At 52.8% G+C, this 21,836-nt stretch overlaps 4 protein-coding genes across 21 annotated transcripts in view, besides 10 other annotated features; 2 read left to right on the top strand and 2 right to left on the bottom strand.

The window, feature by feature from the left end:
• Positions 1-4,221, top strand: part of RETREG3 (reticulophagy regulator family member 3) — a 29,920-nt gene extending 25,699 nt beyond the window's left edge. For 2 of the 3 annotated variants that reach the window (NR_026697.2, XM_047435503.1), the window contains 3 exons: positions 149-231; positions 923-1,055; positions 1,459-4,221. Coding sequence is in view for 2 of the 3 variants with exons in the window: in XM_047435503.1 (XP_047291459.1) it covers positions 149-231; positions 923-1,055; positions 1,459-1,916 (674 nt within the window). In the remaining variant the exon portion in view is untranslated. The remainder of the gene's footprint in view (positions 1-148; positions 232-922; positions 1,056-1,458) is intronic. The other variant, NM_178126.4, reaches the window with a different exon arrangement.
• Positions 5,649-5,738: an enhancer, noted in NCBI's record as "active region_12210". NCBI's record gives its function as "activates an Ori minimal core promoter by ATAC-STARR-seq in GM12878 lymphoblastoid cells {active_cell/tissue: GM12878}" and the evidence as "EXISTENCE:reporter gene assay evidence [ECO:0000049][PMID:35858748]".
• Positions 5,898-11,419, top strand: PSMC3IP (PSMC3 interacting protein). Of its 8 annotated transcripts, NM_001256016.2 has the most exons (9): positions 6,000-6,076; positions 6,168-6,268; positions 6,427-6,516; positions 9,395-9,413; positions 9,519-9,630; positions 10,106-10,251; positions 10,365-10,418; positions 10,563-10,622; positions 10,705-11,419. In NM_001256016.2, exons 5-9 carry the CDS (start codon positions 9,531-9,533, stop codon positions 10,759-10,761), a joined length of 417 nt encoding a protein of 138 aa, NP_001242945.1. In that variant the 5' UTR covers positions 6,000-6,076; positions 6,168-6,268; positions 6,427-6,516; positions 9,395-9,413; positions 9,519-9,530; the 3' UTR covers positions 10,762-11,419. The 8 variants fall into 8 exon arrangements, 5 of the variants coding, with proteins under 5 accessions (NP_001242945.1, NP_037422.2, NP_057640.1 ...); NR_045670.1 differs by lacking the exon at positions 9,395-9,413 and having other exon boundaries at positions 5,898-6,076; positions 9,519-9,533; NR_045669.1 differs by lacking the exon at positions 9,395-9,413 and having other exon boundaries at positions 5,898-6,076; positions 9,519-9,910.
• Positions 6,039-6,088: a silencer, noted in NCBI's record as "silent region_8538". NCBI's record gives its function as "represses an Ori minimal core promoter by ATAC-STARR-seq in GM12878 lymphoblastoid cells {active_cell/tissue: GM12878}" and the evidence as "EXISTENCE:reporter gene assay evidence [ECO:0000049][PMID:35858748]".
• Positions 10,526-16,629, bottom strand: MLX (MAX dimerization protein MLX). 3 transcript variants are annotated; one of them, NM_170607.3, is made up of 8 exons: positions 16,401-16,629; positions 16,074-16,110; positions 15,170-15,259; positions 14,786-14,892; positions 14,426-14,525; positions 14,123-14,222; positions 13,546-13,747; positions 10,526-12,182 (listed from the first exon to the last, which is right to left on the bottom strand). In NM_170607.3, the coding sequence occupies exons 1-8, from the start codon at positions 16,602-16,604 to the stop codon at positions 12,126-12,128; spliced, it is 897 nt and encodes a 298-aa protein (NP_733752.1). In that variant the 5' UTR covers positions 16,605-16,629; the 3' UTR covers positions 10,526-12,125. The 3 variants fall into 3 exon arrangements, with proteins under 3 accessions (NP_733752.1, NP_937847.1, NP_937848.1); NM_198204.2 differs by having other exon boundaries at positions 16,563-16,629; NM_198205.2 differs by lacking the exon at positions 15,170-15,259 and having other exon boundaries at positions 16,563-16,629.
• Positions 15,843-16,350: an enhancer, noted in NCBI's record as "H3K27ac-H3K4me1 hESC enhancer chr17:40719397-40719904 (GRCh37/hg19 assembly coordinates)". NCBI's record gives its function as "activates a minimal SCP1, AML or CMV promoter by ChIP-STARR-seq in naive H9 embryonic stem cells {active_cell/tissue: H9 hESC(naive)}" and the evidence as "EXISTENCE:reporter gene assay evidence [ECO:0000049][PMID:30033119]".
• Positions 15,878-15,967: an enhancer, noted in NCBI's record as "active region_12209". NCBI's record gives its function as "activates an Ori minimal core promoter by ATAC-STARR-seq in GM12878 lymphoblastoid cells {active_cell/tissue: GM12878}" and the evidence as "EXISTENCE:reporter gene assay evidence [ECO:0000049][PMID:35858748]".
• Positions 16,368-16,767: a silencer, noted in NCBI's record as "silent region_8537". NCBI's record gives its function as "represses an Ori minimal core promoter by ATAC-STARR-seq in GM12878 lymphoblastoid cells {active_cell/tissue: GM12878}" and the evidence as "EXISTENCE:reporter gene assay evidence [ECO:0000049][PMID:35858748]".
• Positions 17,108-17,157: an enhancer, noted in NCBI's record as "active region_12208". NCBI's record gives its function as "activates an Ori minimal core promoter by ATAC-STARR-seq in GM12878 lymphoblastoid cells {active_cell/tissue: GM12878}" and the evidence as "EXISTENCE:reporter gene assay evidence [ECO:0000049][PMID:35858748]".
• Positions 17,364-17,870: an enhancer, noted in NCBI's record as "H3K27ac-H3K4me1 hESC enhancer chr17:40717877-40718383 (GRCh37/hg19 assembly coordinates)". NCBI's record gives its function as "activates a minimal SCP1, AML or CMV promoter by ChIP-STARR-seq in naive H9 embryonic stem cells {active_cell/tissue: H9 hESC(naive)}" and the evidence as "EXISTENCE:reporter gene assay evidence [ECO:0000049][PMID:30033119]".
• COASY (Coenzyme A synthase) lies at positions 17,452-21,581 on the bottom strand. Of its 7 annotated transcripts, NM_001042532.4 has the most exons (11): positions 21,510-21,581; positions 21,242-21,373; positions 20,407-21,117; positions 19,554-19,768; positions 19,152-19,283; positions 18,831-19,020; positions 18,682-18,746; positions 18,418-18,502; positions 18,161-18,258; positions 17,924-18,070; positions 17,452-17,823 (listed from the first exon to the last, which is right to left on the bottom strand). In NM_001042532.4, exons 2-11 carry the CDS (start codon positions 21,315-21,317, stop codon positions 17,761-17,763), a joined length of 1,782 nt encoding a protein of 593 aa, NP_001035997.2. In that variant the 5' UTR covers positions 21,318-21,373; positions 21,510-21,581; the 3' UTR covers positions 17,452-17,760. The 7 variants fall into 7 exon arrangements, with proteins under 7 accessions (NP_001035997.2, XP_011523602.1, NP_001035994.1 ...); XM_011525300.2 differs by having other exon boundaries at positions 20,407-21,373; NM_001042529.3 differs by lacking the exon at positions 21,242-21,373.
• Positions 17,871-18,377: an enhancer, noted in NCBI's record as "H3K4me1 hESC enhancer chr17:40717370-40717876 (GRCh37/hg19 assembly coordinates)". NCBI's record gives its function as "activates a minimal SCP1, AML or CMV promoter by ChIP-STARR-seq in naive H9 embryonic stem cells {active_cell/tissue: H9 hESC(naive)}" and the evidence as "EXISTENCE:reporter gene assay evidence [ECO:0000049][PMID:30033119]".
• Positions 21,056-21,245: an enhancer, noted in NCBI's record as "active region_12207". NCBI's record gives its function as "activates an Ori minimal core promoter by ATAC-STARR-seq in GM12878 lymphoblastoid cells {active_cell/tissue: GM12878}" and the evidence as "EXISTENCE:reporter gene assay evidence [ECO:0000049][PMID:35858748]".
• Positions 21,256-21,505: an enhancer, noted in NCBI's record as "active region_12206". NCBI's record gives its function as "activates an Ori minimal core promoter by ATAC-STARR-seq in GM12878 lymphoblastoid cells {active_cell/tissue: GM12878}" and the evidence as "EXISTENCE:reporter gene assay evidence [ECO:0000049][PMID:35858748]".

The raw sequence follows: 21,836 nt of genomic DNA, 5'->3' as shown, positions 1-21,836 counted from the left end.
CAGCTCAGCCTTCTGTTATTATTATGTAGGCTTAGAGCCAGATTCAGAGAGGCTCTTTGTTTTGTGTTCTGATTTTATGTCTTTAAAGTCCAAAGGGGATTTTACGCTGGGAGAAGGTATCAAGCAAGACTTTGTGCTCTTCCCACAGTACGCCGCAGAGCTCTCCACCCAGAACGAGCCATGGACAACCACAGTGACAGCGAAGAGGAGCTTGCTGCCTTCTGTCCTCAGGTATCTTGAGTGTGGGAGCTGCTTCACTGTCCAGTTTTCTTTAGCTACCTTTTAACCATCCGACAGCTCACATTTAGGCCATAACCAGGTTTGAGGCCTTAGACTCCCCTTGTTCCCAAGACAAGGAGAGAAGTGAGACTTTGTTCCTAGATCTCAATTTTTTTCTTTATCATATCATTCCTGTAATCAACCTAGGTCTCAATTAGAGCCTGATGCCCAGCACCGCTCTTCCGTATCTCTTTTTACCCTACCATTATGGAAGAACTTCTGGAGCTAGTATGATCATCTTTTAAACAGCCCAGTTCACCCTTGGGTCTGTGCAGTATGTGTATCCTCCTACCACTTTGAAAAATTATCTCTGGATCAATTATTTGCCTTAAAGTAAGTGGGTAATTGACTCCCCCAAGACTGCTTTTCTTCCTGTGCTTAAGAGGTTATGAATGAGTGTTTTCTTTGGGAGAGCAGCCTAAAAGGGGTCAAGATTTTTTTTGTTGTTGTTACTTTCACATGTATTGATTAAAAAAAAAATAAAGGGGAGAGGGAGTTTTCAACGGGAAGTTACCATCTATCCCTGGTTACATTGATTTGATGGCCTTCGGATAACTAATGCTAGCTGATTAGTAAAGCTGTACCTGGTGACTACACCTGGTTCCTGATGGCATTATCTCACATTTGTTGGTCTTTTCCTAAGCTGGACGATTCTACTGTTGCCAGGGAATTGGCCATCACAGACTCTGAGCACTCAGACGCTGAAGTCTCCTGTACAGACAATGGCACATTCAATCTTTCAAGGGGCCAAACACCTCTAACGGAAGGCTCTGAAGGTGAGGGGAGCCTTTGACCTCAGTTGATAATGGCTCTGACTGTTGCCTCTTAGCTTCCCTGAACAGAGGGGATACTGGTGCTTGCCCCTCTCCTGTTTTCTGAGCTATGGATCAGGCGGCAGAGCAGCCTGAGTGCTGTGGCTACAGCCAGGATGGCACTGCTGCCCTTCTTGAAGACTTTAGTCCCTTAGTAGCCTCAGGCACTAGCCTCACAGGGGACATAGAAGAGAGGGGGAATTGTGTAGAGATCACAGCCACCTATAAGTGGAGGGGAAAGGTATACCAGTCCCATGGGTTTATTTCGCCCTGAGAAAGCCAGGGTGGGAAAAATCTGGTCATGTGGGGCTGGGGCACAGGAGGGCCAGGTAGGTGCCATGACTCAGACACTTCTGTATTCCACCAGACCTAGATGGTCACAGTGATCCAGAGGAATCCTTTGCCAGAGACCTTCCAGACTTCCCTTCCATTAATATGGATCCTGCTGGCCTGGATGATGAGGACGACACTAGCATTGGCATGCCCAGCTTGATGTACCGTTCTCCGCCAGGGGCTGAGGAGCCCCAGGCCCCACCTGCCAGCCGGGACGAGGCTGCGCTGCCGGAGCTCCTGCTTGGTGCTCTTCCTGTAGGATCCAACCTCACCAGCAACCTTGCCAGCCTGGTCTCCCAGGGTATGATTCAGCTGGCCTTGTCAGGGGCCTCCCAACCAGGCCCTTCTGGAGCACCTGCCCAGAGAGCAACGAGAGGCTTCCTCCGGTCCCCCAGTTCAGACCTGGACACTGATGCTGAGGGGGATGACTTTGAACTTCTGGACCAGTCGGAGCTGAGTCAGCTGGACCCTGCCAGTTCTAGGAGCCACTGAGGCAGAGACTCCTTTTGGGAGTCACTGTGGTTTAGGTTTTTTTCTCCCCATCCCACTTAAGGTGATGGGGCAAGGGAAGAACTCAGCTCCCCTCCCCTGAATTATATTTGTATGCTGGGTGGCCTGGCTGATGCTCAGAGGCCTCCTTAGAGAGGACACTCACTCCCCTCCCACCAGCTGGATGCCCATTTCTGAGCTCAGTCACTGAAGTGAGAGTGTGCTCCCCCAAGGGAGGCTTCTCTCCATCAGGATGGTACTTTGGGGGAACAAAATAGTCAGGGATATTGGTTCCCCTTTGAGGAGGTGCTGCTGTTTGCTTTTAGGTATGAGTGCTCAGGGGCCCTCACTGAAAGAGCCCATGCCTGCCTTCCTCCTTTCATCGCCTCTCTAGAGCCCCCAAAGTCAGGCAGCAGCTGGAGTAGTTACATTGTCATCATCTTTTTTTTTGAGACAGTTTCGCTCTGTTGCCCAGGCTGGAGTGCAGTGGTGTGATCTTGGCTTTCTGCAACGTCTGCCTTCCAGGTTGAAGAGGTTCTCCTGCCTCAGCCTCCTTAGTAGTGGGATTACAGGTGCCCGCTACTATGCCCGGCTAATTTTTCTTTTGGTATTTTTAGTAGAAATGGGGTTTCACCATGTTGGCCAGGCTGGTCTCAAACTCCTGACCTCAAGTGAGCTGACTGCCTTGGCCTCCCAGAGTGCTGGGATTAGTCGTCATCTTTTGTTAAACCAGGATTTGATTTTTTTCTTTTCTTTTCTTTTCTTTTTTTTTTTTTTGAGACAGAGTCTCTCTCTGTTGCCCAGGCTGGAGTGCAGTGGCACAATCTCGGCTCACTGCAGCCTCCGCCTGCCGGGTCAAGCGATTCTCCTACCTCAGCCTCCTCAGTAGCTGAGATTACAGGCATGCACCACCATGCCCGGCTAATTTTTTTGTGTTTTTAGTAGAGATGGGGTTTCACCGTGCTGGCCAGGCTGGTCTAGAACTCCTGACTGCAAATGATCAGCCCGCCTCAGCCACCCAAAGTGTTGGGATTACAGGTGTGAGCCACTGTGCCCAGCGTGATTTTTTTTTTTTTTTAAAGCAAACTTGTCCTTTGGTTTTGCAGAACAGGCCTGCTCCCTCTCATCTAGCCCATCATTTCTTGGGGCCTGAACCCCAGTGGTCCAAAGTATTGCTTGTGAAATTTAAAAAATGTGAATATGATGTGGGGATGGGCCTCTTCTACATTACCTTGGCCCAGGGGGATCAGCTGGCTGGGAGGATTAGTGAGCACCTCTGTATTTTGAGGTCTGAGTCTTCTGGAGCTGTGTAGTTAATCTTCGGTTTCTGATAACCCCTGGGTCCATCTGGCCATCAGCCTCAGCAGTGAGCAAAGCAATACCATACTCATTTCTATGTTCCTGTTCCTTCCTCTGCTCCTCCTTTGGAGAAGCAATAATTCATGGGGGATGATACAGTAGCACTTTACAAATGGCTCCATGTCATTCATCCCAGGGGCCATAATCTCTTGCACCACCTATTCTTACTTCCTGTTCAGCTCCTTTACAGCTTTTATTTTCAACTGCTTCCCAACTTGGTGGGGCCTCCTTTAAGGATGAGCCAATAGTAAGAATGTGGCTGTAATCAGCAGAGACCCCTCTGAGGGGTATCTGTTCTGCAGCCCCTAGTGAAATCATGTGATGTGAGACAGAAACCTAAACATGGTACTTGATTCTAAACCTGTGCCAGTCTATAGCCTCTGCCTCCCCAAGCAGAGCTCAAGCCAAACGCTTCTGTCCTCTTTCCTTCTGCATTAACCCTTTGCTGATCCTCAGGGGCCACTCCCCCAACACCCCTGTACTTGGGTGAGGGATGTTGGACAGAGCCTGTTTTCATGTACTGCAGGTGGGGGTGTGCTGACATGTTTGCTCTTGGTTGATGGAGAAGGTACAGAGGCCAGGGAGTGAAAATGGTTGACAGAAGAGGGAAGAGTTAGGTGTCTCATAGTCACTCATAGTGGGGTGGTCAGGGGTAATGGCATCTCCCCACTTTAGGCTTCTCAAACAGACTTTTGACACCTCTCAAGTTCAGAGCTCTGATGTGGAAAGACAGGAGGTGTGGGGAAGGAGGGGGATTTCGTGTGTTTGCATGAGTGTGCGCTTCAGGCCTTGGGAGTTGGCAAGAGGGAGGGAAGGAAGGAGAGCAAAATCTTCGGAAGGTGTTTCTTGTACCTGAGGGATCCTGCCCTGAATCTCCATAGTCTCCACTGTGAACTGAGGAGGGGAGGGGTGTGCTGGGGAATAAATCTTGTATGAGAACAATCTTTAAGAGACTGATGCTGAATGGTGTCCTACCCTTGATAGGTCTTCTCTTGTAAATCTGAGTTCTGATTAATTTGAAGTGATAGCCTTAAAAGAGGAAGCCCAGGTATGAGGGACCCACCAGCCCACCCCTATTTTTACTTCGTGATGGCCAGAACATCACCATAGTATGAGGCTACTTTCCTTCTTGTGAGAGCCCCACCATCAGTATAACTGGCACTCTTGGCTAGTATTTAGCCTGTATTTCCTTCATTTCTAATTTCTTTTTTTTTCCTGAGACGGAGTCTTGGTCTGTCGCCCAGGCTGGAGTGCAGTGGTGCGATCTCTCACTGCAAGCTCCGCCTCCCGGGTTCACGCCATTCTCCTGCCTCAGCCTCCTGAGTAGCTTGGACTACAGGCGCCCACCAGCACGCCTGGCTAATTTTTTGTATTTTTAGTAGAGATGGGGTTTCACAGTGTTAGCCAGGATGGTCTCGATCTCCTGACCTCGTGATCCGCCCGCCCTGGCCTCCCAAAGTGCTGGGATTGCAGGCGTGAGCCACCGCGCTCGGCCCTTTCATTTCTAATTCTTAATATTGTCTCCTAAACGTGCAGAGACAAGCACACGTTTTAAAGGCTAAGGAGGTTGTAGGTAGCAGAAGGCTTTAAAAAGTAGCACCTTACTCCTTCACTGGATGGTCTGAGCTGCAGGGACAGCTGCTCTTTGGCCTTCAGCTCACCTCAGAAACTAGAAATATTTATTTCAGGCTCTGTCCCATTGGCCACTGTGGTCAGGGGTGGAAAGCACCTGCCAGGTGTTGCCCTGAGATTGTCTGGGCTAACAAACTTTTCCACAAGCTTTGTGGTTGAACAGTAGCCCCCTCCTAACCCTATCGTTCCTTGGCGTCCAAACTACAGTAGGTGTCGAGTGCCCCCTGGGTGCGAAGCTCGGTATTAGGCAAATAAGGGTGGTTGCTCTCCAAGGCGCTTAGCTGTCCCCCCTTCCCACTTTTTTTTTTTTTGTTCGAGACTGCGTCTCGCTCTGTCGCCAGGATGGGGTGCAGTGGCGCGCTCATAGTGGCTCACTGCAGCCTCGATGTCCGGGGCTCTGGTGACCCTCCCACCTCAGCCTCCAGAGTAGCTGGGACCACAGAAGCGCGCCACCACTCTTAATTTTTTGTACTTTATTTGCAGAGATGGGGTTTCATATTGCCCAGACTGGTTTCGAATTCCTGGGCTCAAACGATCCGCCCGCCTCAGCCTCCCAAAGTGATAGAATTGCAGGGGTGACATGCCACTGCGCCCGACCAAGGCGCTTAGCTTTCTATTAAGTTTTCACAACCACTTTCCTACCACTATCTACTGTTCCTATTTTACAAATGACAAAACTAACCGACAAAAGAGCACTGGACCGTGGGACCAGAGCACGTCCCTGTGGGGTAACCTTGAGCTGGTCGCTTGCCCAGGGCGGCAGCGGATGTCTGAAGCGTCTTCCAATCCCAACATTAGACTTAATTCAAGGTCACCAGTGCTCAGCTGCGGCTGGAACTGGGTCTCGAAACTTGAAGGCCTTCTCTGCTACAGCCTTCGTTCCCGGGAGCAGAAAGAGGAAGTTTCTTAGCCGTGGGCACGCCGGCGCCTTCGCAGAGGCCCATGGCTTGAGGTCCGGCCCGAATGCGCAAGTTCCGACCTGAAATGAACTATGGAGTCCGGGAGGGGTCGCTTTGCTCCTCCGGAAGGCTTCCCCTTCAGCCAATCACCGTTCGAGGCCCGCCCCCGTCGCCGGAAGGAGCCGTCGCCCCGAGCAACTACAACGTCCGGCTTTCTGAGTTGGGTGGCGGGAAAGGCGATGAGTAAAGGCCGGGCAGAAGCTGCGGCGGGAGGTAACGGCGCCGTGGGCGCGGGGAAGACCCGGGAGGGCAGTGGGTGAGGAGGTCGGTTGAGTGGCCCCCTCCCCTGCCTTTCTCTCCGTAGCCGCCGGGATCCTCCTGAGGTACCTGCAGGAGCAGAACCGGCCCTACAGCTCCCAGGATGTGTTCGGGAACCTACAGCGGGAACACGGACTGGGCAAGGCGGTGAGGACCTTCTCCCGGGATTCCCTCTCCGTCGGACTCCCTGGATTCAGGCTGGGGTCGTGCCCTTTGGAGCCTTGGGCGTTTTCCACATCACTGGCTGGATTTCCCCAGACCCAGGCTCAGACTCCTCTGATTGCTCCTTCTCTCTCCTCTGCCAGGTGGTGGTGAAGACGCTGGAGCAGCTGGCGCAACAAGGCAAGATCAAAGAGAAGATGTACGGCAAGCAGAAGATCTATTTTGCGGATCAGGTGAGGAGAACTTGCGCCGATTGTCACCCATGAGAGCCCGACAACGGGTGAATCTACTCCTGGTGTGAACTCTTTGGGGACAAGGCCCCCCATGGAAAACTCACCTGTCTTAGGCCACCATCCTTAAATCAAGGTGTGTACTCCTCTTGTTAGGATCCCAACTTCACGAGGTTTCCAGATTTACAATATGATGGATGACAGAAGATTCTGTATTGTTGCTACCAAGATCCATTTCCGCTCCAAAGCTCTTATTCCTTATCATCTACATTAGCAACACCCTCTGCCAAATGATGTTCCTCCTGCCTCCATCCGATTCTCTAAACACACATATCAAATTTATATTCTCCAGCCCAGACCTCCAGCTGGAATCTGTCAGGCATTAATATCAGAGTCAAAATTGCCACAGTAGAATGCCTCATCTTCCCCCCACCCCGGACTGGTTTCTTTCTAACATTCTCCTCCCCTAATGGAATTACTCTTCACCCAAACCAGAAATTGGGAGCAATTCTTGACTTCCTTTACTAGTCAACCATCAAGTCCAGCTGATTTTTCCGTTTTTATTTATTTTTTTAATTTTTATAGAGATGGGTCTTACTGTGCTGCCCAGGTTGGTCCCAACTCCTGGGCTCAAGTGATCCTCCTGTCTTGGCCTCCCAAAGTGCTGGGAGGACAGGCGTGAACCACAGAGCCTGGCTAATTTTTCCATTCTTGAATCCACTCTCCTTTCCATCTGCCATGGTTGCTCTAGTTCACGCCCTCTTTATTTGTTGCAGTATCCTCCTAACAGATCTTGGCTCTTCAAACATATCTTAAACTCTTAAACATTGCAGTCAGAATGATCTGTCTAAATAGATCTGGTCATGCACCTTCCCTATTTAAAACTCTTCAATGGCTCTCTAGTGCTGCAAAAAACATGTAAAAGGCACCGGAAGACGCCCCAGCCAGCCTCTGGCCTCACCAATCCTCATTATTTTTCTATCCACGAACACTAGATAATTCTGGTGTGTTTTACTGCTCTGTCCTTTGCATGTTGTCTTCCCTGTACCTGCTTCTCTTCCTGGCCAGCTCTTTCTTTCCTTGAGGATTTCACTTAGACATCACCTTTTCCAGAAATCTTCCTTGAATGCTCCGAGCTAATTGTTTCTTTTTCAGGCCCTTATCTCTTTTTGTTATTGTTGTTGTTGTTGTTGTTGAGACGGAGTCTCGCTCTGTCACCCAGGCTGGAGTGCAGTGGCACAATCTCGGCTCACTATAAGCTCCACCTCCTGGGTTCACGCCATTCCCCCGCCTCAGCCTCCCAGAGTAGCTGGGACTACAGGCACCCGCCACGAAGCCTAATTTTTTTTTTTTTTTTTTTTTGGTATTTTTAGTAGAGATGGGGTTTCATCGTGTTAGCCAGGATGGTCTTGATCTCCTGACCTCGTGATCCACCCGCCTCGGCCTCCCAAAGTGCTGGGATTACAGGCATGAGCCACTGTGCCCAGCCTGGCCCTTACCTCTTTTGAGGCATGCTGTATTACAATTTTTACTTGTCTCCTTTATTCAACTGAAGTTCCTCTAGGGCAGACCCCATTTCTCAATTCATTTTTATCTGATCAGCACCTCCGCAGTATCTAACATCCAGCAGATATTACTCGTTAAACTGAACCAAACCACTTTTAAGGCTGACTTTCCTAAAACAGGCTGCATTGTGTTACTCATCTAAAGATAATTCTCTAAAGGAGGGTTTGGCAAACTTTTTCTGCAAATGGCCAGACAGTATTTTTAGGATTTGTGGGCCATATGTATCTCTTGTCATGGCTGGCTGTACAACTGCCACAACTACTCACCTCTGCCACTGTAGAACAGAAGCAGCTGTAGACTATGTAAATGAACGGGTGGGGCTGTTTCAATAAAATTTTGTTTTCAAAAACATGCATCTGGCAGGATTTGGCTTGCTGGCCATAGTTTGCTGGCCTCTGCCCTATAGGTTCACCTTGCCCAAGTGTAGAGTCCAGACTGCACTGGCTGGCATACTTTTTCAACCTGCTCCCCATCACCAACTGATGTGACCTCCCCCACCCCCACACTGATCCCCAGTGCAGTTCTTTTCTAGCAATGGCCCCTCATGAGAGAAGCTCCTCAGACTTACTGGAATCCCTTATCTACATGGATCCCAAGACCCAGCATAGTGGCTCATGCATGTAATCCCAGCACTTTGGGAGGCTGAGGCGGATGGATCACTTGAGCCCAGGAGTTTGAGACCAGCCTGGGCAACGTGGTGAAACCCCTTCTCTACTAAAAATACAAAAATTAGCTGCGCTTGGTGGTGCGCGCCTGTAATCCCAGCTACTTAGGAGGCTGAGGCATGAGAATCGCTTGAAGCCAGGAGGCGGAGGTTGCAGTCAGCCAAGATTGCACCACTGCACTCTGGCCTGGGTGACAGAGAAAGAAAGAGAGGAAAAGAGGGAAGGGAGGGAGAAAGAGAGAGAAAGAGAGAGGGAAAGGGAGGGGGAAGGAGGGAGGGAGGGAGGAAAAAGGAAGGAAGGAAGGAGGGAGAGAGGAAGGTGGAAAGAAGGATGGGAAGAAAGGACAGGAAGGAAGAAGAAAAGAAGTCCATCCATCCCATCCATCATGCTTCTTCACCTGTCCAGTTTCTATCTATTATGGAAACCCATGATCTAGGTTTCCCCACCGTGGGAACAATGTTACTTAACTGCTTCAGCCCAGGTAGTGGTTTTATCACTAAATGGGAAGATTTCTGTCCTAATCAGTATCCTGTCAACCTAGTAGCTTAAGGACAAGCATTAGATTTCAGCTTTTCTTTCCTACCTTTTTAGTGGGGCCGCTCCTTAACTGAAAACAATTTCTCAAAAGTACTCTCCCACTATTTCTGCAGACCCTCTGGAGACTTTGGGGTGTGGCTGGTTCCTGAGCATATCCAAATGGTGCCTTCCCAGGTGTGTGTTCCCATCTTTGTGCCTCACAACAGTTCACTTGTATTTTCCCTCTTTGTCTGGCAGGACCAGTTTGACATGGTGAGTGATGCTGACCTTCAAGTCCTAGATGGCAAAATCGTGGCCCTCACTGCTAAGGTGCAGAGCTTGCAGCAGAGCTGCCGCTACATGGAGGCTGGTAGGACTGGGTAGCCCCTCCAAAGTGCCCATAGGCTTAGGTTCATTCTAGAGGTCAGGAATTACTAAATGAATGGTTCAATGACTGCAGCATCTTGTTGCAGCTAAGACCCCTTTGCTGGGCTCCCTTAGGCATAAAAAGAAATGTAGGATAACTAACGGCTTTTGTGTACCAACAAATGGACAAGATACGCATTTGTTCTCCCTGCCACGATTATCAGTACACTGTCCCCACGTTTCCCTTTATTCCTGCTTCTTTAACTGGCTACGCCTAAGTAAGTGTTCAACCTCACACCCACGCCACTTGTAGATGGAGGAGGAAAGAAAATTAGAAGAATAAATAATCCTGTATGGCTTAGTTTCCATGTGAGATGATAGATCCAGAGCAAGGTGGAACACCTCAGGGAGCACCCACTGGGAAAGACAGAACTCCTTCCTCAGGGGTAGCAAGTGACCCCAGGCGGATGTGGTTTCAGAGCTCAAGGAATTATCTAGTGCCCTGACCACACCAGAGATGCAGAAAGAAATCCAGGAGTTAAAGAAGGAATGCGCTGGCTACAGAGAGAGATTGAAGAACATTAAAGCAGCTACCAATCATGTGACTCCAGAAGAGAAAGAGCAGGTGAGCTGGAAGGCTGTAGGACCGCTGTGCAGGTCCAGAGTGAACATCAGGGCTGAGCCCCAGAGGGCTGCTGTGGTTCTGAGGAGTTAGAGGAACTTGCTTTTTCCTTCTAGGTGTACAGAGAGAGGCAGAAGTACTGTAAGGAGTGGAGGAAGAGGAAGAGGATGGTAAGTGTGTGGGAGCTCCGAGACAGGCCCTGGAGGTGCCTTTGAAAATGGCAGGCACCAGATCAGCCGCTACACAATATCATAAACTGACAGGCAGTGCCCAGTGCTGCCCATCTGAAAACGGGTGGTTTTATTTCTTGTCAGGCTACAGAGCTGTCTGATGCAATACTTGAAGGATACCCCAAGAGCAAGAAGCAGTTCTTTGTAAGTGGAGCTCTCTTCCTTCTTTGCTTCCCTGTGGTCTTATCCTGGTGACATCTCATTCACTTGTCTCCCTGTCTCACAGGAGGAAGTTGGGATAGAGACGGATGAAGATTACAACGTCACACTCCCAGACCCCTGAGGGGCCCACGGTCAGGACTGGTGGGGACTGCAGGATGTCAGAAGAGTGAGATGTCTTGCACTGGCTACCTTGTTTTTGGTTGGCTTTTGTTGTTGTTCCTGCTACTTTCACCTTTAAGCAGAGCAGTCAGGAGACAAGCATAAACCAGAGCACTGGGTAGAGAGGATGAGGGCTGGTGGCTGGGGGTAGACCCAGCCCATTTCATTGTCTAAATTGCAGTAGCTTGAGGTTAACATTTAGACTTGGAACAATGCTAAAGGAAAGCATTTGGCAATATTTATTATAATTTAATTTTATATAAAAATATTTAATTTCCTCTGGATAGTCAAACCTGCCAGATATCAAACCTGAGGAAGGCAGAAGTGAATTTGGAGAACTAGGGTAGAGAGAGGTTGCTATAAAACGAGCATTTGGAGGGCCCACGGCTTCACTCAGGACCTGCTGGGCTTGTGTACCCCAGGAGCCCTTTTAAGTATCTTTTGTACGCTTTTCACCCCACCCCCAAGTCCTGGGAGAAATGCAGGCAACACTGAGACATGGGAGAGGCCAAGATATGCTTGACAGAAAGGGTGATTTTGAGGCTCAGTTAATATTTCAAAATTGTAACCGTAGCAAAACTGCATTGGTATTTAGAAAAATAAAAAATTTCCAATATGTAGTGCTGTGTTATACCTGCCTCTGCCATGCAGCATCATAGCCTGTGGGAACCGGGAGGGCTTCCCTTACCACCCAGAGCAGAGGAGGAAGGTGATGGAATATGGGGTGAGGGGAGGAACCTGGTGGCCCCTCCCTGAGATGGCCAGAAAGCCCTTGGCCTCACCTGGGACTGACCAGGCAGCCCTAGTCTAGGCACAAGGTGCCCTTTCACCCTTCATGGCTGTGGGAATATTTCCTCTTACTCTTTTTCTCCCATACAGCTACTGCCAAAATGCCCAAACTTGGGCCAAATGTTGCCCAAACTTGGGCCAAAAATGTTGCCCAAGAGACCAAAACAGAGGAAAACAGTTTCCAAATCTATGTAGATCATGAGCAGAAATCTGAGGCTTGAATAAAGGGCTGAGAGGGCAGGAGCTCTTTGGGGTGTCCAGAGCAGACGCCCATCCCAAGGACTTCCATGGAGTGGGGGGAAGGCTGGGTAGGTTTGAGTTTTATCGTCAATATAATAAATTAATCAGAAGCTTTCACAAAACAAACACCGCGGCTCCGCTGAAGATAAAATGGGGCTGGGAAAAACCAAACACCAAGTAGAAACCAGCTGACCAGTGTGAGGTGTTGTAGTCCAGTCTCCCGGGCCCAGCAGTTCAGTGGCCACGTAGAGATTCAAGGGCCTCTTGTTGGCTGTTCTCCAGGTTTCCAAGAACCGGTCAGTAAAGCTGGTTTTTCAATTGGTGCAGGACGCCAATCACAATCTCCCGCAGGGTCTGGCGAGGGCAGCAGAGGAAGAAATAGACAATGCCCAAGTCAACGCAGAGTAGTTTCCAAGATGCCTGCCTAGATCAGCCATGTACTTTAGAAAAGTGCTTTAAAAATAGCCCCCCGGGGGCCAGGTGTGGTGGCTCACGCCTATAATCCCAGCACTTCGGGAGGCCAAGGCGGGTGGATCACCTGAATTTCAAGACCAGCCTGGCCAACATAGTGAAACCCCGTCTCTACTAAAAATACAAAAATTAGGTGTGGTGGCACATGCCTGTAATCCCAGCTACACAGGAGGCTGAGGTATGAGAATCGCCTGAACCCAGGAGGTGGAAGTTGCAGTGAGCTGACATCACACCACTGCACTCCAGCCTTGGTGACAGAGTGAGACTCCGTCTCAAAAAAAAAAAAAAAAAGCCCCCAGGAAGTACTGATGTCTGCAGTTTAATTTGAGGTGCTCCTGAAGCAAGATGGAGAGATGGAAATATAGTAAAATGTTTCGGTAAAATTTAGGGAGCGGGTATACGAGTGTTCACTGTGAACTCCTCTCAACATCGCAATATGTTTAATGTGTTTCACAATAAAAATGTTGGGAAACGAGGCCAGGCACAGTGGCTCATGCCTGTAATCCCAGCACTTTGGGAGGCCGAGGCGGGTGGATCACAAGGTCAGGAGATCGAGACCATCCTGGCTAACACGGTGAAACCCCGTCTTACTAAAAAATACAAAAAATTGGCCAGGTATGGTGGCACACGCCTGTAGTCCCAGCTACTCGGGAGGCTGAGGCAGGAGAATGGCGTGAACCCGGGAGGCGGAGGTTGCAGTGAGCCGAGATTGTGCCACTGCACTCCAGCCTGGGCGACAGAACGAGACTCCCGTCTCAAAAAAAAAAATGTTGAGAAACAAACAAGAAATCTCAGACACAAGTTTAAAACCTCAGAAAAAGCAACCAGACTTCAATTAGAAGACTTAGTGCAATACCATTAGCACATCTCCATTATAAATAAATTTTTAAAAAGCTCTTGGGGCAACTACTTTAGGGGGCCTAAAGGTAGGGTCCCAGAATTTGCGTTTCCAATTCTGCTGCAGATGCCTGGGGCTTCCATACAGGGGCAGCGATAACATGGGCTAGACAAAAGCCAAGAGCTGGACTTCACATTGAGCTCACGTCACACTTGCCGAATGAAACCGTAACATGAAGATGTGGGTTAGACAGCAAAGAAAAGGGAAAATACCAGGGCCCTCAAAGCTGTAGAAACGCCCTTAAGATCTAAAAGCAGCTGCCACGCTTTTCTCAACAGCTGATGGCTTGGGCCACTTTGCTTGATGGTAGAGAAAACCGCAGACCCTGTGCCTATTGTTGCCCCATACCTGAGGCTTACAGTGCTCCTCGATCCAGCTGAAGACACACGCTGACAGCTCCTGGAAGCTGGCCACTGAGATGGAGGCATTGAAGGACTGGAACAGGGAATCCATGATGCCTTGAAACACGTTGAACTTGACCTGGTCAGAGACCTGGTCCTCCCCTTCATGGGGGTTGTCCTGGTGTGCCTTCACAATCTGCTCATAGTTCCTAAAAGCATGCAGGCCAGGGCTGAGGTGCTGCAGCAGCTCCGCCCACCCAAGAAGAATGACGGGACTATCCTGTGTACTCCCAGGAATGGCAGCCCCAGAGAGCTTCTGGGTGGGGTTCAGTATCAGGGAGATACTGCTTCCAGGTCAGGAAAGGTGGCCCTCTCTCTCCAACCTTCCTTACATTAATCCAACAGGCATTTCCTGAGTGTCTGCCATGTGTAAGGACAGTTGGGGATACACAGTCCTACTGGCTAGCTCAGGAACTAAGAGTATTATCTGTACAGCAGTAACTGATGTGGCCTTTGAACAAGGGAGGGTGTGCAATGAAGTTGCCTCAGAAGTTCTGGTTCCCCCCATTCAGCACCCCTCTTACACTTTCATGATCTTTAGGGCGGTGACATCCTTGCGTAACGTGGACACCTCCTCCTCCTGCTTTTTCTTCTCCTTGTGCAAAAACTGAATGTAGTCAATGGCTAGGGTGGGGGCAAGAAAAAAAGGACAGGTACAGAAGTATTCTCAACCAAGAAGATAAGGCTGACTTTGTTCCCCTTACCCCAGACCCCAACTATCCCATGGCAATCACCACACCAAGGCCGAGCCATGGGTGGGTAGGAGGCACTGGCCTCTTCACAGCCCCGCTTGGCTCCATCCCCTCCAGTGCTTTCCCTAGCCATACTCTTTTGTAGAACGATGGCTTTGCTGAGCTTTTGGGAGCCAATGGAGAAGTCCTGCTGCTGGCAAGTGGGGACGATGGTCTGAAGGTCATCATAGCCTCTCTGTGGAAACAGCAGGGGAAATGGGTTCTTTAACCCTGAGAGATTAAAGCAAAATGGCACAAAGTTCCTCCATGACACCAAGTTCTATGCTCACAAACTCAATGGGGTGGGAAGGCTGCAAGGGAGGTGTTTGTGCCTGGGACTATACTACCTGCCCACCCCCTAGGGTGCCTGGGACTGTCTGAGTGGGTCAGGGCACAGGGAAGCTAAACTATGCAGGGCCCTCCCGCACTGGCTGAGGCACAGGCCTCCCTGTTCACCTTGATGGCGTCCCTCCTCTTCTGCTCAGCCTGAGTGTGTGCGCGCCGCCGCCGGTCTTTGTAGGACTCCTTGTAGGCCTCCTGGTGGTAATCACTGTCCTCATCATCTACGCTCAGAGATGGGGGCAGGGAAAGGTCATCTTGGGGCCCAGTGGGGTCCAGCTAGCCCACCTTTCCCCAGCTGGGAAGAACCTGGTGTCCAGAGAAGGCAGATGGACAGAACCACCTAATGTTCCAGATGAGGTGAAAGATGGTGAGACCTTGTGTCTGATACTTTGGCTCCAGCACCCCTGTGTGGATGGCTGGGGCTTCCCTGTCTAGGAAAGGTACTACAATTATGACATATCTGAGCCCCCCGAGGTCGGGGGGGATGTTACTGCCTACCTGTGTTGGGGACAGAAGAGGCACTGGTGGAACCGATGCTATTAGCTCTGGACACTACACTCCCCTTGCGGGTGCTTTCTACAAAAAGCCCTGGAAAAGAGAGGCCCCAATCACTAAGGGGTGGGGTGGGGAACATTGCCAGACCCTCAGACACCTGTAGGACACAATGGCTTTCTTTTATTTATTTATTTTTTTTTTAGACAGAGTCTCGCTCAGTCGCCCAGGCTAGAGTGCAGTGGCGCGATCTCGGCTCACTGCAAGCTCCGCCTCCCAGGTTCACGCCATTCTCCTGCCTCAGCCTCCCGAGTAGCTGGGACTACAGGCGCCCGCCACCACGCCCGGCTAATTTTTTTGTATTTTTTAGTGGAGACGGGGTTTCACCGTGTTAGCCAGGATGGTCTCGGTCTCCTGACCTCGTGATCCGCCTGCCTCGGCCTCCCAAAGTGCTGGGATTACAGGGGTGAGCCACCGCGCCCGGCCACACAATGGCTTTCTTAAATGCTGACCTCTTCCCTTCAACCCAAAGCCAACCATACTGGGCCCCCCACTTCCTGCCAGACCACGCTGCAGTGCTCTGCTCCCTAGTGTCTACACTGCTCCATAGGCCTGCATGATACCCCCCTGGCTCACAAACGGGCATGTGGACGTGATGAGGGTGTGAGTGATCAGCTGCTCCACTGAGTGGTGAGTGATCAGTTCCACCACTTCCCTGTTCCAGAGCAGAGGGAACTAGGTGTCACCCTCAGTTGTTTTCTGCCCTTGTCCTTCAGCTCCTGCTGTCTCAAGCCAGGAACTCTGCTCAGGGAGAGTGGACTGTGCTCAGGCGTGGTTGGCAACGCCACAAGAATCTAGAGAGCCTGGGCGGGAGTGTCCCTCTAGAGCTTAAGATGGGGCAGCTACTCACCGGGGTCCAGGCTGTTGTCGCTGTAGGCATACTCCACCTGCGGCACAGAGCACGGGAAGGGCCCGTCAGACCTCCGCCCCTAGGGGGAGGCGCCCCTTCCACTGCAGGCACGCACAGCGCGCCCCCCATTCCGGGAAGGCGCCTCTGTCACCCTGCGCGCTTGCACACACACAGCCCGGGGTGCGCGGGCAGCTTAATGAGTCCCCCGAGACTGGCACAGGCTAGGGCGTGCGAGTGCCTCCCCTGTGTATGATCCCTTCCGCCCCTACTCCACCCCAGTGCCCCGTTCCCCCGACTCGCGCGCACACGCCTCGTTTGTCTCCCCACCTTGGCACACGCGGGGTGAGAGCTGTCTTCTCTGCAGCCCCGGGGCACGGAGAGCGTGGGGGACTTTGGGGACAGGAGGGAAGCCCCTCGTCTTCCGGCCCCCCTACGTGCACGAGCCCGACCCGCCCTCCCCTCGCCGGCGTGCGCGCCCACGGGGCTTGCCTTGACCCAAGGGTCCTCGGGAGAGGCGCCCGGCTCCGTCATCTTGTACCCACCGGACCGGAAACGGGCCAGCGGGCGGGCCCCCTGCGGCGAGGAAGCGGGTGGCGTGCCCACGTGACCCGCGCCCGCCAATCCGCGACCGAGAGGTGGGGCAGGGCGAAGCATCGCGCATGCGCAGCCCAAAGACTTTACTCCACGGTTCCAGCCGTCAAGGCCCGGCGCTTGGCCTGGCGCCAGCCTCCTTCGAGACTGCTCCCCGCCGTGCCTGCCCTCCCCGGGTTAGGCAGTGGAATGGCGGCGACATGAAGCGCGTTTTGTAAGATGGAGTCCCCTCAATTGGCTTGTCAGCACACCGCCGCAGATAGTGTGTGCACGCGCACTGTCCGGCCGGCCGGCTCCCCACGTTACCCTGAGGGCGGCCTCCCCGCGCTCACCGGACCTGCACTGCTGGCCGGTGTGTCAGGAACCGGGCAGAGAAGCCCCCAGCCACATCGTCCGACCCCACCAGGCTGCAAGCTCTGTGAGGGCAGAGGCCCCGCCTGGCGCGCGGAAGGCTGATCTTCCAACACCCAGCCCAGTGTCTGGCAGGATGCATGTGGAATGAACCCTTGCAAAGAACCTGCTAGCTAGGTTATGCGGCCTCTCATATTAAAAACAAAACAAAAACAATAAAACACGGCAGTACCTAGAAAGTCTACACCTTACTCAGAAGAACACAGCTGGTCAGTGGGAGGGCCAAAGCTCGCCTCTGGCTAGCCTCAAAGGCCATTCTCTTAACCACTGCATTGCCCAGGCTTCCAGCTCAGGCCTGGGCCCTGCACTTGTGGCTTAAGGATCCCAAAGATACTTAGGGGCATTGGAACAGGAAGCAGACACCATACAAGCAACATCTCAGAACATTCACCTTTAATTCTGTTACAGGTTCCAGTATTTGCGCTGGCCCTAGTCAGCTGTGGGTAAGAGTCACCCATGGGCAAGAGTGGGGAGGGGACTGCTCCCCCATGAACCACATCCTCAGTGTTGGCCAAATACCAGCGTGTTGGGTAGGCTTCCTGTGTCCACCAGGCCTGGCCATGTCCTGCACAGTATAGCTTGGACCTCTGGGCCTGAACCAGGGTGAGCATCAAGGCCCCCATTTCTCCTCACCACGGGGTCGCTTGTCAGCTCCAGGAGCCAGTCTGGCCCCACTGAGAACTTTTCAGTCGAGGGCCTGATGAGTCTTGGGAATGCGCTTCTGCAAGAGGGCCCAGGCTTTCTCCACCTTCAGACAGGCCAGGATGTTGGGAGGAAGAGAGGGCAGGGTCAGGCAGTACCCACTGGAGACTCCTTCCCCACAACCCGGCCTTGCCCTGGGCACCAACCTGGCGTTGGGTGATATGCGGCTCCCACAAGGTGCTGAGCACCACGTGGCTCTGTTCCACAAGCTGCTGCCCGCTCATCTGGCTCTGCAGCCGGCTTTGAGCCGCGGCTTCACTGAGGCCATCCCTCTCCACAATGCGTCTTACAGCCTGAGCACAGACGAGACATTTGTCAGGAAGAATTCCAGCTCACAGGATAGGATCTGCAGTAGGGATGGTGTGGGGGGTGGGGCGAGATACCTCAGTCTCTGGGATGACAGCAGTCCACACCTCATGGACCAGGTTCTGCCAGCCGGCTTCAAGCAACACAGCGGCATCAATCACACACACACGCTTTCCTGTGGGGAGACCCCAGTCACCGCCAGCAGTGCCGACGTTCTCCCAGGCAGAACACAGTCCCAGGGTGAACAGACAGTCCCACGTTGGGCAGGGAAGCTCCCAGGGGAAGAAACAGCTTAACTGTCCCCTTAGCTGTTGCCATCCTCCCTCCCACTCACCCTCAGCCACAGCCCGATCCATCTCCTCTCGGGCCAGCTTTGCGATAATTGGCCACATAATGTCCGTGAGTATCTTCAGCTGCTTCTGGGGAGGGGAACAGAGGGCAGAGGTTACCTTCTCTAGAAGAGGCAGCCAGCCCGAGCAAGGTGGTGTTGGGAACAGATCAATGGAAATGGCATTCTGGGCCAGACCAGAGAGGTCCACTGGACCCTGACCCCTGGGTCTAGTAGCGGCTTAGGAGCCCTTAGGAAGTTATTGTTTACCTTATTCCCAAACACCCGGCTGCCTAGGACCTTCCTGTTGATGATGCCATCTTTATGGAGAATATCTGGACAACACAGACAGACAACTGAGCACAGAGGCCTGGCTAGCTCCTCACTCCAGGCCACTTTCAGCCTTCCCCAGTTATTACCTGTTCCAAAGGCCTCCACCACAGGCTGGTAGGCAGGGCCACCTGGGGCATAGGCCCGATGACCCAGGTGGTCACTGTCAATGACAAACGCCCCCAGGCCCTTCAGTCGCTGAGCTATTGAGCTCTTCCCAGAGCCACTGATGCCAGTCAGCCCAATTACATAGAGACATGTGGGGAGCTCTGGCCTTTCCTGGGGATAGGTGAAAGGGAACCCACAGTTACTGGGGCCCTCAGCCTCATGCCTGGGGCTGAGCCCCTCAGCTTCTACTCTCCAGCATTGCCAGGACACCAAGCAGGAGGGAAGGAGGGAGAGGAGCTTACATATGGAGGCCGAAGCAGGTTCCCCAACATTCGCTGGCGGAAGCTGGAGGAGCTGACTTTGTCCTCTTCATTCTCTGTATGTCTGAGGTCCTTCAGCAGCTGGATCTGGTACAAAGCAAGTTCCTCCAGGTCCTGGGGTAAAGAGGAAAGGGTAAAAAGAGGGAAGGAGGGAGTGAGAGGAAGACCCTGACATCCAACCTGCCCCCCCATCCTCCCCTTCCTACCCAGGCTCCTCCTCCTCCGACTCAGCGGGCAAACTGAGAACCAGTTCCTCCTTGCTTCTTCCCACCACCCTGAGCCCCCACTTCTCTCCTCTGGGGCCATGGTACTTCCAACAGCCCCCTCAAAATGGCCTTCCCCGTCCCCCATCCACTCCCTCTGCCAGTCTCCCTCAGGGGTTACATTCTCAAGGCGGAAGCGGTTGATGGCCATCCCCCCACGATAGGTCTCCTCGCTGACCACCAGGAACTCCAGGGAGGGGTCAGAGCCAGCGGGCCCATAGGGGTCCAGCAGGGGGATGACATCAAAAGTCAAGGAGGGCTTGATGTCCACCAGGAATTCACTCAGATGTTCCACACGTTCTGTATAAGGTTGGAGCAGCTCAGGGAGCAACTTGCCTGGGGAAGGAGCCCAGAAGAACAGTGAGATCTTTTTATTGGGGAGGAGAGTATGGGCCAGTTTGGGAAAAAGTGTCCCTAAGTACAGTATCCCCAGAGGGGGTGGCAGAAAGGGTTCAACTGGTAAGGCCTATGGTGATGGTGAGGGGAGCATGAAGGTGAAGAAACAGGCAAGCACAATAGTCACTCCAAGGGCTGGCATGTGTCCAGAGAATAAGCCACCAGGAAACCACTCCAGAGAACGAGCAGTGCCAGAGGGCATCAGAGGCAGATGGAAAATTCCAAGACCCATGCCATGCTTGAGTTTCCTCCTCCTGTCTGTGGCACTGCTACCTGCAGCTCACTCACCCATTCATTCCCAGTGTCTCATTAGGGTGTATCACCTGGAAAACTTGCTAAAATGCAGATCCCTTTGCTTCACATTTGGGGTATTCTGATTGAGTGGTGACTGGACCACATGCTGAGAAAGCTGTTCATTTGACAAAATGGCCTTAGCACCAATTGAGTGTCAACCACTGTGACATTTGGGAAGGGTGGGAAGTAATGAATGGCCCTACCCTTCCTTGATCTCGGCATAAGGGTCGGGGGTGGGGAGATTTGGGGATCCTCCACCCTAGTCCAGGGTCCCTCTTACTCACTCTTCAACAGATCTTTGTCTGCTACTCCCACCACAAGCTGCTCCTGGGCCAGGATGCACGCGACACTGAGCAACACCTTGTGGGCGTTGTGCAGGCGGTCAAACGTGCCACCGACAGCGCCACGGTAGTAGCCACGCACCGGCTGCTTTGGAGACCCGGCCACGGGGGAAGCTGGCCTGATCGTGGAGGGTAAGGGGACATCCAGGGGCTCCACGGGCACTTCTCCTATCCCATAATCGGAGTATAGCAGCACCGAGGCCAGTCGCGGACAACAGCTGTAACAGCTGGTGGCGTAACGCACTAGCTGCTGTTTGACCGGGTTGTACTGGCTTCCATCCAGGGTCTGGAAATCTGTCAACACGACTTCTGGCGGGTGGGCGAGATTCTGGACTGAGGTGGGCAGGGGAGGGAGAAAGGTGCTCTTGGTTCGGATATTGGTCAGTAGGATTCTGACGTCCAAGTGCCTGTGGACGTCGGCGCCAGCATAGAGGTGCGTGATGAAATCAAGAACCTCAAACGTGGCCTGCACGGGGCTGGACTGGGGCTGAGCCGGGCCCTCCAGGCTCATGCCCGGCTGCAGGTGAACATAGAGTGTGTGATTCACCAGCCGGGCCGCCGAGGTCAGGATGGAGGCCAGGCGAGGGGCTAGGGAGGCCAGCGGCGTCGTCAGCACCAGGAGACCCGACCGGAATACGGCCATGCTGCCCAGGCCTGCGGACAGTCAGGGAGACGAGGCGACGGTGACTGAAGGGCCTGCGGCCGAGGCAGAGGCCTGTATGGGACCTTGGACCCCAGAGAAGGAGGCCTGGAGCAGGGACGGGGTTTCAGTGCTGACCGACAGGAGCCGGGGGAGGGGACGGGGCCTGGTAGACGGCGCCTCGGGGCTGTGCTCTAAGCCTTGGTGTCCTCATTTCTCAGACGGGGCGGTGACTTCGCTGAACTGAGTCGAAATCCTGGGAGGGGGAAACTGGACAGGAACCCTTGTCACAGGGCTGGGGATCCAAAAATCCTGGGCCCTCTTGCTAAGCTGCACCAGGGTCTTCAAGGAATCGAAGAGGGAGGCTAAAGGGGGACGCTAAAGCTCACGTCGGCCCCCTACTCACTGAAACCTCAAGGCTTGGGTTCCACTTGCACCACCGCGGAGGCTTCCCTGGCTGCAACCCGGAAGCACTAACGGAGAAACCGCAACTCGGAACTACGGAAACGGAGGAAGGTCAAACGTCTCGACTTCGCTTCAGCGCGGGATTCTCGCGAGATTTCCAGTGGCATGGGCTGTGTCCTGCTGATGGGGTGGGGCTGATCCCGAAGGCTCTGGGAGTGGGTGAAGCCTTGATGCCGATCGGACCCCCGCTGGGACCGGGCGGAGAAAGGCAAGGCAGGTTTCAAAGCCCATTTCACAGATTCCCTTCTGGCCTGATGAGGAGAGATTA

The sequence above is a fragment of the Homo sapiens genome, chromosome 17 (assembly GCF_000001405.40).
Source record: "Homo sapiens chromosome 17, GRCh38.p14 Primary Assembly".
Classification (NCBI taxonomy): domain Eukaryota; kingdom Metazoa; phylum Chordata; class Mammalia; order Primates; family Hominidae; genus Homo; species Homo sapiens.
This window is presented reverse-complemented; position numbering and strand designations above follow the sequence as displayed.